This window comes from Homo sapiens, chromosome 2 (assembly GCF_000001405.40).
Source record: "Homo sapiens chromosome 2, GRCh38.p14 Primary Assembly".
In the NCBI taxonomy this organism is placed as follows: domain Eukaryota; kingdom Metazoa; phylum Chordata; class Mammalia; order Primates; family Hominidae; genus Homo; species Homo sapiens.
In genome coordinates, this window is record NC_000002.12 from 134,839,832 (window position 1) to 134,852,433 (window position 12,602).

The 12,602-nt window shown below is 43.2% G+C and overlaps 1 protein-coding gene across 8 annotated transcripts in view; it reads left to right on the top strand.

Moving 5' to 3' along the window:
* Positions 1-12,602, top strand: part of ACMSD (aminocarboxymuconate semialdehyde decarboxylase) — a 63,419-nt gene that overhangs the window by 1,216 nt on the left and 49,601 nt on the right. For 3 of the 8 annotated variants that reach the window (NM_138326.3, XM_005263588.5, XM_005263586.5), the window contains exon 2: positions 5,402-5,446. In NM_138326.3, the coding sequence (NP_612199.2) occupies positions 5,402-5,446 (45 nt within the window). Of the gene's footprint in view, positions 1-1,390; positions 3,523-4,527; positions 4,641-5,401; positions 5,447-12,602 lie in introns of those variants that run through there. The other 5 variants (XM_011510592.3, XM_047443333.1, XM_017003326.2 and 2 more) reach the window with 4 other exon arrangements.

Sequence of the window (12,602 nt, forward strand, 5' to 3'; positions counted from 1 at the left end):
ACATGCTGTTCTGAGTGCTGTTGTCCTCATCATAGTTTACTGAAGTGTAAACCACTTCACAATGTTAATGATTTCATGAAGGGAATGCACCAGTTACTTTGTGGGAGTGCATCTGCCTTGTTTAGAAGCTGCATGCAGTTTCTTACATCTTATGGCGCCCACCACTTTCTACCCCTCATTTATGAGTATTTGCCTGATGAATGATGCAATGAACACATTGACTAACTTGTGATACAGGTAATGGAAGCAATAGATTATACTCCCTAATCTGAGAGTTTTAGAAAAATCCAAATTTTAGTATTTGGTATTTTAAAATAGCCATAAACTATACCTAGCAAAAAAAAAAAAAAAAAAAAAAAAAACCACTAATTCCTCTGTTACAGCTTTTTTCTCTATTTGAGTATGAAAGAATATCCACATGAAATGCTTTGGAAACCACCACGGTGGTCTCTAGAGGACAACGCCCCCCTGTACTATCCCACTGAGAAAGCTAGCTAGCATGATCGACCCTCCAAGCAGGGCTCCAAGCTCCAGGGCATACACCTCCTTGTGCAGACAGGATTTTGAGGCTTAGAGAGAGCTACAGTCTGAATGTGTATGTCCCCCCCAAAATTCAGGTGAAACCCTCATCCACAAGGCAATGGTATTAGGAGATGCAGCCTTCTGGAGGTGATTAGGTAATGAGAGCAGAGCCCTCATGTATGAGATTAGTGCCCTTATAAAGTAAGCCCAAGGAAGCTTGTTCGCCCCTTCTGCCACGTGAGGGCACAGCAAGAAGGCACCATCTTAGAACCAGGAAGCGGGTTCTCACCAGATCTTGGACTTCCCAGCTTCCAAACTCCCTCTCCTTTCTATCACCAGCTATTGCTTTAAAGAGGGAGAGGAATTTTGTCCCAATAAACCAGGTTTCTTCTTCTTTTTTTATTTTTATGTATTTATTTTTATTTCCATAGGCTATTGGGGAACAGGTGGTGTTTGGTTACATGAGTAAGTTCTTTAGTGGTGATTTGTGAGATTTTGGTGCACCCATCACCCAAGCAGTATACACTGCACCCAATTTTAGTCTTTTATCCCTCATCTGCTTCCCACCCTTTCCCCGAGTCCCCAAAGTCCATCGTGTCATTCTTATGCCTTTGCATCCTCATAACTTAGCTACCACTTATGAGTGAGAACATATGATGTTTGGTTTTTCATTCCAAACCAGGTTTCTTCTTATGTAGTAGTCTCATATGCTGCAAGCAGACAGCTGATACACTTCATCATCACCATCTACATCATTTCCATCATTATAGTCATAACACTTCGTACTTCCAGGGAGAGACAGAGGGAGAAATAATTTACATAAACCTTGTGAAATATGCAGATAAGATTTATATTATTCACTTGACAGATGAGATGCTTGAGACTCAGAAATGAACCTAGAATCCCAGAGCTATGAGAGGCCACCGTGGTCCCTCAAGAGCCTCCCCACCACCACACCCATCTTGAGAAAACTGGCCCAAGAGAGTACTGCTGCTGGAATAACCTTGACCTTCTTGCACAATGAAGAGACAGAAAAGCAGAATCAACACGCCTGAAGTGATGTTTAATTAATGATGATAATGGACGGGGATTTGAGAAATCTTTTCATTTTCGCTTGCTAATAATAATTTTAGTCAGAGTTACAAGTAGGGTTCTTGAAAAAAAAACATATCTGACGTATAAAGACAATGGATTCAGGGATACTTGATCAAATTGTTTCTGATGAATGAGGACCCACACTCTCTGCTGTCACAAACAGGAGGTGGGGCCCAAGAAACAGTGGTGAAAGATGTTTCAGGTTGATCTGCAATGGATTATTCACAGCAACAATGAGGATGATACAGTTTCAGCTTTTTCCTCCAGCAAGGCCTTACTGACAACCTACTGTCTGCCCAATAGTAGGGCTTGCAAAGATTCTTCTAATTATAAATGGAGCAAAAAATTCTGACCTTCAATTTGAAAATCATATACTTACACCTTCTTTTGTTAGCAATTGCACTTCATCGATATAAGGCTTTAGAAGACAAAATCCTAGACATCATTTGATTTTTAGAAAATCCTTCTGAGGAGATAAATATCTGGTTTCATCACCCAGGAGGCTCATTATTCACCTCATGGAGGTGTGATGTCTTCAAGACATTAACAATGTCATTCAGTTCATCCACTTTGATTCATACATGCCCATTTCAGAAACATATCTCTTGTATATAAAACTGAATTTCCTTGAATGTTTTCAATTGTTTATTTGGCATGCTCATAAATGCTGTGAGACACTGGTTATTGTCAGTCAAACACTTTCAGATTGTAGATGCTTCCCGGCATATGCTCAGACCAAAACCACTCCCAGGGTCATAAATTTTAGACTCCAGGCTCGGCTCAACCTAGGATGAGAACTGCGGGGCTACATCAAGCACAGACCTGGAGAAGAATAAAGTTGCCCTAAATAAGTTGAGTCTTTGCAAGGGGCCTGTGAGGTAAATTGGCACTTTATACTTTCCAGGAAAGGGAGGGAGGGACACAGAGGGACAAAAGGCTCTTTTCTTCATGGCTCTCCTTAGTTCTGACCCCAGGGTATTCTATTTGGGGTTGGAATAAGACTGTCGCCACAACTGCCACCCCTACCACCATCCCCACTGCTACTATCACCATGGCTGTCACTGCTAGCACCATCACCATCAGCCATCACGGGTACCACCATTGCCACCATACTCACTACTTCAGCCACACCACTACCACCACCTCACTCCCTCCACCATGGCAATTAGTGCCCCCATCATCACCACCGTCACCATCAGCATCATTGTTAGCATGAATGAAGCCTTGTCCACTGGCCAGGCCTGGTGTCAGCAGCTTTATATGCACTATCTCAGCTAATTCCCCTGAAAACTTATGTCCCCACCACTCCTCTTAGCCTCATTTCATTAACACACATAAGGATACAGTGACTTGGAGACATTTCACACCAACAAAGTCAAGTGCCTTGTAAGTGACTTGTCGCATGTGGGAGGATCCCTCTGCTCTGCCTTTCCTACCTCCCTATCCTTCCCCAGATGGAATACTTCTCTACCTGCTAACATATGGGTTACAGTTCCTTACAGAATTACAAGAAAGTAACAAAGAAAGAGAGTGAGGAAGAAGCGGGAGAAAGCAGGCAGTAGAGAAAGAGGGAAATAAAACCTTTTCTTCTACATTAAGGATAAAAATTCAATGGCAAATTTCTAATTTAAGAGCACATAGTCTTAAGTTCACTCTAAAGTGTAACTGATTAAGGTCATATTCCATTCCTCCCCCAACACACCTCTCTTGGCAGCTTTTTCCAGGGGAAAAGAAGGAAAAAGTACCAGGGCATTGAATGCATGAAGGGTGAGAGCAGGGGTTGAGGGCACAAGCAAAGGAGAGGCTGGATGCAGAGAGGAGAAACTGAGCTCCCTTGCCTGCCCAGCCTGCAAAACCGGTTCTGCTGATGTCACTGGGGAAGAAACAGAAGATAGATTTCTAAAGGTAATATGATAATTTGGGGCTAGGACTCAAGAACAGACCTTATACCTGGGTGGAATAAGACTGGTATAGAATTAATCCAAACCTTAAGAAGCTGTTGAGGCAGACCCCAGGCACAGACAGAGACACAAACACCTCTATGCTGCACCATGGCCCAGGCCCAGACCTTCCCCTCAGTCTAGTGGTGAAGGGAGCTAGGAAAGGAGTCCACCAAGACCTGACTCCCTACAGACAACTTCCCTGCACCACAGCATGAGAACCAACTGCTGTACCCTGGCCTCATCCAGCCACAAGTGAGAGGTTGAGTTGATGTTCAGTTTGCTTTACTCGTTGACCCATCACCGCTGACCAACTCAGAGCCATTAAGGAGCTCCCTCATGTAGCTATCTCCTGCCTCCATTCCTTCCCTCTGACACCACACTGTGAGAGCCATGCAGGAAGCGTGGAAATCCTGAACACTAGAAGATCCTCTGCAATCTGACCCCAGGACTACCTTTTCAACCTCCCTCCCAATACCGCAGCCCAAGGTGTTAGGTCAGCTCCCTCGCCAAGGCCCCCAGAGCACCTGTGCATCACAGTCACAGTGCGTCTCACACGCAATGATGTGGCCCTTCAATTCCTTGCCTACCCCAGCCTTAACCTCCCAAGACTCTGCTCCACATGGGCTGGAACTAACCTTCACTTTTATTTTCTCTGCCCTAGTAAGGCTTGTCATAGATGGGACTCCATGAAAGCGTGAAGAAGGAATAATGATATGATGCAGTATGATATGATATGATAAAGTCAATAGTTATTTGAGTCATACTTACCTATGTTTTCAGGCGGTGGCTTTCCACAGTTTTTATGCATGATCCCCAGGCGGAAATCTATTTTACATTATGACTCAGTACAAACATTTATATACATTAAATGGGAAGAAAAATGTTATGAAACCATTACTTAATACACGGGAGACATTCTAATTTATTCTATTCCTTTCCATTCCTTTACTCTCTTATGTTTTCCAAGAAGCAGACCCTGAGACAAGGATTCAGATGCAAGTAGTTTGCTTTGGAGGTGATCCCAGGAAACACCAGTAGAGTGAGGAAGTGAGACAGGGAAAACAGGGCAGCCAGTGAAAGGTTTGTATTCCAGAGCAAAATGTGTGCCTCATCTCTGTGTTATCCTGACCGAGGGGTGGGGTACGGTGTGTTCAGTGTATTTATATACAACTCCCTCAATTATCTGTTAAGGGCGTTGGGCCAAGGGGATGCAGGGGGCTAATTTCTTAGTACTTCTGACCTACTAGGATGGCTTGATCAAAGCAGGTTCCAGGAGAAAGCCCTCAGCCAGTGAAATGCAGGCGCTGGCTGATGGAGGTGGGCTGGCATGCACAGAAGTGTGAAAGCAAAGGGATATGAGCGGGACACCAACAGCATCTGCTACATACATGATTTCCTGTTTTAAAATGTTTGAGTCCCTATCCACTAAACTGATATCACAATCTACTCATGGATTGCAACCCACAGTTTGAAAAGCAGTGTATTTCCTAAAGAGTGGTCCTTAGGAGCTATGTACTCCTGGTAGCCTGTGAAATGATTTTAGGTGGCACATGAACAATATTTTTTCATGTTAATCTTTATTTTAAAAATTCAAGCTGCATTAGGGGAAAAGATAAAACCAGCACTGCTGAGATAACAGTATTTTCTTCTTGTATAAATATATTGAAGGAAAAATGTAAGTGAATTTAATTGTAAATACTAAATAGGCGATACATGGGTATGGGGGAAATGGGAAGGCAATGCTTGAAAGGTGGAGCTCAGGATCTTCTGCACTTAGCATGCCCCTTGATTGCAGCCTGGTCTTTGCTCTTTGACTCTAACTGTGCTTCTCCCCACTGCAGAGGTTTGGCTACGGAGGCTGGGTGCAGCTCCAACACCACAGCAAGGTGAGTTTCTTCCAAAGTATGAACATCAGTAGCACTCAGGGAGAGCTGAGCCATGGGATACCTCACTGCAGGCTGGGCCTCCAGGGAACCCCACTCTTCTGCCCATGTATTAGCTTTGTTGTAGACAAGGGAACAGCACTGAGATTTCTCAGAATAATTGGGAAAAATGGAGGTGACTTCAAAGAGTAGTATTTAGGAAGATAAAATTGGAATTTGAGAACACATTAAAAGGTCTCTCTCTCTCTCTCTCTCTCTCTCTCTCTCTCTCTCTCTCTCTCCCCTCTCCCCACCCCCACCAACCAGTTTTAGCATTTATTGCTCTGCCTGGAGGAAGTGACCTAGTGCTCTCTACAGGTTATTACAGTATATTAAAGCTGACCAAATAAATGGGACAGTTAGGTTTGAGCACAAGCTGGAAAAATTGAACACTGGAGACAAAGGGGAGAAGACAGTGTTATTAAGGGTTGAGTTTGGTAAGAGGAAAAAGCAAAAAGAAGAAGGCTGTGGGCAAAGCCCTCTAGAAATAACGAGCCCCAAGAGTGAGCTGGGAGTCTAGATCTGCCCAGGGCATGGGTCTGACTTCATTTTCAGAGGCATCATATGTCCTCTCCGAGTTCAGAGGGAATATTCTTGAGCTTCCAGCTGGCATGCAGACATGACTAATGCAGGCTCTGGAGGACTTGTGGTCTGGAAATCTAGTTAATGTGCAGAGTTAACCCAATGCAGCATGGAAAGGTTAGGACTCCCTTTACATCAGGTGCTAAGGGGCAGAGATTTGGGCACCAAGGATCAGAGAAGGCCTTCTGGAGGAAATGATGCCCATCCCACATCTTAAAGCAGGCAGGGAGGCTTGCCCAGGGAATAAGGAAACCATGTTCTAGGAAAAGAAGAAAGGGAACAAAGGCATGAAATATTAAACATATGTAAGCTCAGAATTCAAGCACTCAGCTACCAGCATTTCTCAAACTGTGGTCCCACAACCAGTTTCACCATCACCTGGGAACTTGGGAGAAATGCAAATTTTCAGGCCCTACCCCAGTCCTACCAAATCAGAACTCTAGAGGTAGGGCAAGCAACCTGTTTTAACAAGCCTCCTGGTGATTCTGATGCACTGTCAAGGGTTTTTTAATTATTAATTTTTTTAAGGACAAAGTCTCGCTCTATTGCCCAGCTGGAGTGCAGTGATGCAATCACAGCTCACTTGCAGCCTCCAACTCTCAGGTTTAAGTGATCCTCCCACCTCAGCTTCCCAAGTAGCTGAGACTACAGGTACACACCACCATGCCCAGATCATTATTTTATTTTATTTTTTAGACAGGGGGTCTCACTATGTTGTCCAGGCTGACCTCGAACTCCTGGCCTCAAGTGGTCCTCCCACTTCAGCCTCCCAAAGTAGCACATTCAAGTTTGAGAACCACTGGCTCTCACACATTCATTCACTGACTCACTACTTTTTATTGAAACTTGTTTTGTGTCAGGCCCACCAACCTAGACACTGAGAATATGCTGGTGAACAAGATAGACATAGTCCCTGCTCTGATAGTGCTCAGATTCCAGGGGTCACAAGTCAACATGATCAATTCAGAGAATGGAATATAAAGCAGCGATGTGATAGAGAGCAAGAGGCTGGCTGGTCTGTGACCTGGCAAAGGCTTCGAGGATGAGAAGGGAACACTTTTCCAAGTGGGGGAACAGCAGTTGCAAAGGCCACCAAGTGGTAAAGAGTTGATGTGTTCAAGGAACAGAAAGGAGGGCAATGTGGCTGAAATGCAGTGAAAGGGGGAGATAGTAGGAAATGGGCTGGCAAGGTAGGCAGAGGCCCAGCCACATGGGGACTTGCAGGGCACGCTAAAGAGTCTGGATTGCATTCTCAAAACAATGCAAATTCTTCGGAGGGTCTTAATGGCTTTAAAAGACCACTTTGGTTGCTCTGTGGAGAACACATAGAGGCAGACAAGAGTAGGGAGAGTGAAAAAGAGGCAAAAAGATGGAGAGGAAGCCAGAAACCTCATCAGACAGGGCCATGAAGGATTTAGGGGTTTAGGCCCCAAAATGAGCTTAGGTCTTTGAACTTGATCCTGAAGACAGTGGGGAACCACTAAAGAGTTTTTTGGGGATACAGATAGATAGATAGATAGATAGATAGATAGATAGATAGATAGATAGATAGATATAGATAGAGATAGAGATAGATATATATACTTTAAGTTCTGGGATCCATGTGCAGAATGTGCAGATTTGTTACATAGGTATACAAGTGCCATGGTGGTTCACTGCACCCATCAACTCGTCATCTACATTAGGTATTTCTCCTAATGCTATCCGTCCCCTAGACCCCCATCCCCCGACAGGCCATGGTGTGTGATGTTTCCCTCCCTGTGTCCATGTGTTCTCATTGTTCAACTCCCACTTATGAGTGAGAACATGCAGTGTTTGGTTTTCTGTTCCTGTGTTAGTTGCTGGGAATGATGGTTTCCAGCTTCATCCATGTCCCTGCAAAGGACATGAACTCATCCTTTTTTATGGCTGTATAGTATTCCATGGTATATATATGCCACATTTTCTTTTCTTCTTTTTCTTTTTTTTTTTTTGAGATGGAGTTTCGCTCTTGTCACACAGGCTGGAGTGCAATGGCACAATCCTGGCTCACCGCAACCTCTGCCTCCCGGGTTCAAGTGATTCTCCTGCCTCAGGCTCCTGAGTAGCTGGAATTACAGGCATGTGCCACCATGCCCAGCTAATTTTGTATTTTTAGTAGAGACAGGGTTTCTCCATGTTGGTCAGGCAGGTCTTGAACTCCCAACCTCAGGTGATCTGCTCGCCTTGGCCTTCCAAAGTGCTGGGATTACAGGCGTGAGCCATTGCACCCAGCCAGCCACATTTTCTTTATCCAGTCTATCATCGATGGGCATTTGGGTTGGTTCCAAGTCTTTGCTATTGTGAATAGTGCTGCAGTAAACATACGTGTGCATGTGTCTTTATAGTAGAATGATTTATAATCCTTTGGGTATATACCCAGTGATGAGATTGCTGGGTCAAATGGTATTTCTGGTTCTAGATCCTTGAGGAATCGCCACACTGTCTTCTACAATGGTTGAACTAACTTACACCCCCACCAACAGTATAAAAGCATTCCTATTTCTCCACATCCTCTCCAGCATCTGTTGTTTCCTGACTTTTTAATGATAGCCATTCTAACTGGCATGAGATGGTATCTCATTGTGGTTTTGATTTGCATTTCTCTAATGACCAGTGATGATGAGCTTTTTTGCATGTTTGTTGGGCACATAAATGTCTTCTTTTGAGAAGTGTCTGTTCATATCCTTCGCCCACTTTTTGATGGGGTTGTTTTTTTTCTTGTAAATTTGTTTAAGTTCCTTATAGATTCTGGATATTAGCCCTTTGTCAGATGGATAGATTGCAAAAGCTTCCTCCCATTCTGTGGGTTGCTGTTCACTCTGATGATAGTTTATTTTGCTATGCAGAAGCTCTTTAGCATTTGTCAATTTTGGCTTTTGTTGCCATTGCTTCCGGTGTTTTAGTCATGAAGTCTTTGCCCATGCCTATGTCCTGAATGGTACTGCTTAGGTTTTCAAGAATTTTAAACATCACTGTCTCTGAGGCAGCCCATCCTCACCTTCTTGTGTGTCCACTAAGTGCCAATTCAAACACTGTGCTTCACTTCTCCCATTCAAAATGCTAGTTCCTAGACCAGGATCTGATGCTCTAAGCTGGCCTCAAGTCTCTCCGAGGGAAAACATGATATAAATGGAGCTGACGGCAAAGCAGCTAGGAAGCCCCAGCTGCAGGGACAGGCAGCTGTGATTTTTTTTTTTCTTTCTTACTCCATGTCCCTGTCTTCAGTTTGTCCTTCAATAGTGGATTTGAATGGCCTTCATTTCATTTTGTTTTAATATCAAGAAATTTCATAAACTTAGTAGCCAAATCTCCAAAATAAAACAAAAAGGAAATATTTTCCAGTCACATCTACTGACTTATTTCCAGCAAAATCTGATACAATGGTAATCAAATAGGACAAAAGAGTAACACACTCCCTCTCTCTCAAAAACAAAACAAAGCAAACCAAAACATACCCAGTCTGTATTTTTCATAATTACAGTTGTCAGGGATTTGAGTCCATAGAAAACAATATGCAAATGTAAACAACATGCAAATGTATACAATTATGCAAAATAGGCTGGGAGCAATGAGAAAATCCAGGATTTGGGATTTGAAAATAATTCTTACTCTCCTATGTTCCTTTAGTGAAGAAATGTGTTCTGCCCCCAGGATTGACTTACCCTGGAGATACCTGTTCTCTCAAAGTTCTTTCCAAAACATTTCTCTGGTTTGCTCCATTTCTCTTCTTAACTCTTGGTTTTTCAGTGTTCCCCAAACAAATTGAGGGGTAGTCATTTGTCATGGCAAAGCCTTGCTCAGAAGTGAAAAACATTATTTGTCTTTTGATTGAATATTTATAAAAGTGTAAGTAGCAGGCCAGTCCTTGGTTTGTATGACAACCTGCCAGGATCTGCATGGGGTGGGAGCAGAATTGTGCCCTGATGGCAAAGACACCTGGGAGCATTTTAAAGCCTCCAACCCAGGAGGGTAGACACAGGCCCGTTTCAAAGCCATAGGTCAACAGCACCTAGAAACACACACTGAGTTCATCCCAGGGCCTTGGGAACACACACACACACACACACACACACACACACACACGTGAACATTTACATCACACTTTCAGCATTTTTACACACATAATTCTGTCGGACTCCTCACTGTTATCAACTGTATTTGTATCCCCCGCCCCCCAAATTCATATGTCGAAGTACTAACCCCCTTAAAAAATGAAAAAGATTGCAAAACAAAATAGTAGAATGCACTGCTTATGGCAAGAGTAAATATTGTTTCATGAATCTTCTTTCTCAGTTTGTGTCTGTACAAATAGATATATATGGGTATTCTGAATGACAATGAAAAATAGATTTCTTTTTTTTTTTTTTCTGAGATGGAGTTTCGCTCTTGTTGCCCAGGATGGAGTGCAATGGCACCATCTCAGCTCACTGCAACCTCCATCTCCCAGGTTCAAGCGATTCTCCTGCCTCAGCCTCCCAAGTAGCTGTGATTACAGGTGTGTGCCACCACACCCAGCTAATTTTGTATTTTTAGTAGACACAGGGTTTCACCATGTCGGTCAGGCTGGTCTCTAACTCCTGACCTCAAGTGATCCACCTGCTTCGTCCCCCCAGAGTGCTAGGATTATAGGCGTGAGCCAACAGGCTTGGCCAAAAAATAGATTTCTTAATGTGGGGTCACAGCCAAAACTGGCTGAAAGCCATTTATCTTGTCCAATACCTTCAAATGTTTTTAAGAATAATTTATTATTATTATTATATAAGTAATATTTGACTAAATGCTCCTTTTTAGATTCAAGCCATTAGAGATAAAGCTACAATTTTCTTGGACCAGCACTCCCTGTTCTCAAAAGTTCTTCCTTTCTTTAAAATAATTTCAACTTTTATTTTAAGCTCAGAGGATACAGGTGCAGGTTTGTTACCTGGGTGTATCAAGTGACGCTGAGGTTTAGGGGTATGATTGAACCCGCCACCCAGTTAGTGAGCATAGTAACCACTGGAAACAATCAGTTTCTCAGGCCTTGTCTCCTCCCTCCTGGCCCCCTCTGGTAGTCCCCAGTGTCTACTGTTGCCATCCTTATATCCATGTAAACCCAATGTTTGGCTTCCATTTCTAAGTGAGAACATGCAGTGTTTGGTTTTCTGTTCCTGTGTTAATTTGATTAGGATAATGGCCTCCAGGTGCATCTGTGTTGCTGCAAGGATATGACTTCATTATTTTTTATGGCTGCATGGTATTCTATGGTGTATATGGAATATCCATGGAATATTATATTTTCTTTATCCAGTTCATCGTTATGGGCACCTAGGTTGATACCATGTCTTTGCCATTGTGAATAGTGCTGTAATGAACATACAGGTGCATGTGTCTTTTTGGTAGGACAATTTATTTTCCTCTGGATATATACCCAGTAATAGGATCACTAGGTTGAATGGCAATTTTGTTTTAAGTTCTTTGAGAAATCTCTGAACTGCTTTCCACAGTCAGATACTCCACTAATTTACATTCCTACCAACAGTGTAGAAGCATTCCCTTTTCTTTTTTTTTTTAGGAGTCTCACTCTGTCTCCCAGGCTGGAGTGCAGTGGTGTGATCTCGACTCACTGCACCTCCGCCTACTGGGTTCAAGCCATTCTCCTGCCTCAGGCTCCTGAGTAGCTGGAACTACAGGCAACTGGCACCATATCCGGCTAATTTTTGTATTTTTAGTAGAGACGGGGTTTCACCATGTTGGCCAGAATTGTCTCAAACTCCTAACCTCGGGTTATCCACCCGCCTTGGCCTCCCAAAGTGCTGGGATTACAGGCGTGAGCCACCATGCCTGGCCACAATCCCTTTTCTCTGCAGCCTCACCAGCATCTGTTATTTTCTGACTTTTTAATAATGGCCATTCTGATTGTTGTGAGATGGTATCTCATTGTGGTTTTGATTTGCATTTCTCTGATGATCAGTGATGTGGAGCATTTTTTCATGTCTGTTGGTCATTTGTACATCTTCTCAAAATTAATTCCTATTAACAGTTTGGTGGGTATTTACTTCTCCTATGGTTTTACTGAAATAGGAATGCACCTTTGGAAATAACAGAGTATTATTAGTGTGTTATACGTATGGTGTTTAAAGCTGGATGAATCGGGTTCCAAATAGAAAACAAACGGCACACTTAAATTAGACTACTTTGAAAAGAGTTCATAAAGAGACTATTTATAAAGGTATAAACATGAGGAAGTAACAGAGGTAGGCAGGGGTTACTTAGATCATGCGGGGTCTTACAGGCCAGGTTAAGGAGTCTGGATTTCACCTTCAGGGAAACGGGAATCCATTCAAGAGTTTTAAGTGGGGCAGTGGCAAGATCTGAGATGGGGATTTGTAAGTTTACTCTGACCACTTTGTGGAGACTAGGTTGAAAGGGAGTCAGAATGGAAGCAGGGAGATGGGGCTGGAGGCTGAGAAATCATTCAGGGAGAGAGGATGAGGGTGTGGAACAATGAGCAGTGGAGGTGGAGAGAAGTGGACCAGCC